Raw genomic sequence first — 1,375 nt, 5'->3', positions numbered from 1 at the left:
TATAAATTATGTAAACTATATACATATAAATATATACATTACATATGTAAATTATATATACACACATACATATACACACATTTGTGTGTATATACATTTGTGTGTACATGTACTTATGTGTATGTGTGTATATGTGTGTGTATGTATATACACACATTATTTGTGTGTAGGTATACATGTTACTCAAGAGATGACTATCAATTCAAAAATTATTATTGTGGTCAGTAGGATTAAAAAAGAGTTTGTGTTTTTGATATGGAAATGAGCTAAAGACACAGCAAAAGTATCTTTAAAAATATGAAATTGGCATTCAAGTTCAGAGGGCTGATTAGATTCCCATTACTCTGGAGGTTGAATGTACTGATTCACCACTGTGATCAAATTTCTCCTTTCTCATTGGTTTTCCTGTGAGATTATCAGCAACTTCTAGCGAGCCCACATAAGGAACTAGAACCTAGGGAAATAATTATAGCCAGAGTTGAAAAAACTTAAGCAATAGACTTTCACTTTCAGAGTTACTATTACTGGGGATCCTGAAGGTCTTGAAGACTAACATCAGCAGGCTAACAGGAGCAAGTAAGGAGGCAGTCAGAACACAAGCACAGGTGAATGGATGTTGGTAAGGAAGGTGTCAGAGGCGGAAGGACTGAAATGGAATCAGAGATGATTTAGGTTAAGGTCAGGGATCCAGGAAAAGAAAGGGCTTGGGATAGAACTCTGAATCAACTAATAGAAATCCAGAATGAACCCTATGCAGTGCTGGTGGGGAATAGGATTAAGGCTGAGAAATTGAGGTGATGAAGCAAAGTATAATCAGGATTTAGCTTTTGTTCAAGGCTAGATTAGAATCTAGGAGTGGATGTTATGGGTTAGCAAAATCTGGAATTAGACCCTGAGAAGGTGGATAGAATTCATAAAATGGAAGGGGAATAGCTACTGATATTTATCTCTGCTTTTCTGGGGATCTTGGAGAACTATGAGATTGTGTGTGAAAAGGTTATCATCACCATCATCATCATCATCATCATAACCTCAACCATTTAATTAATATCTTATTCATGTTCCAGAAGCCAAAAACTTACAAAAAATGTTTAATTTAATCCTGTATTTTAAATTTTATCTCAATTTTATATTTAAAAAACCCAGATATCACTGATGGTTTGAGGAGTTAGAGAATTTGTTCACAGGCATGTAGGCAGTAAATAATAAAGCCAAAACTCAAACCTAACTATATTATCTGTGTTCTTAATAATGAGACACTCTGATTCAATAGCATCTCTCCTCCATTAGTATGCAAGAGGATAAAATGCAGTGGAAGCTGCATGAAACTTAAGATAAGCTTAGCTTACCACTTGTCTCAGGTAGTCACTGTAGT

This window comes from Homo sapiens, chromosome 2, assembly GCF_000001405.40.
Source record: "Homo sapiens chromosome 2, GRCh38.p14 Primary Assembly".
In the NCBI taxonomy this organism is placed as follows: Eukaryota; Metazoa; Chordata; class Mammalia; order Primates; family Hominidae; genus Homo; species Homo sapiens.
The sequence above is the reverse complement of the archived record's forward strand: the minus strand, read 5'-3'. Positions refer to the sequence as shown.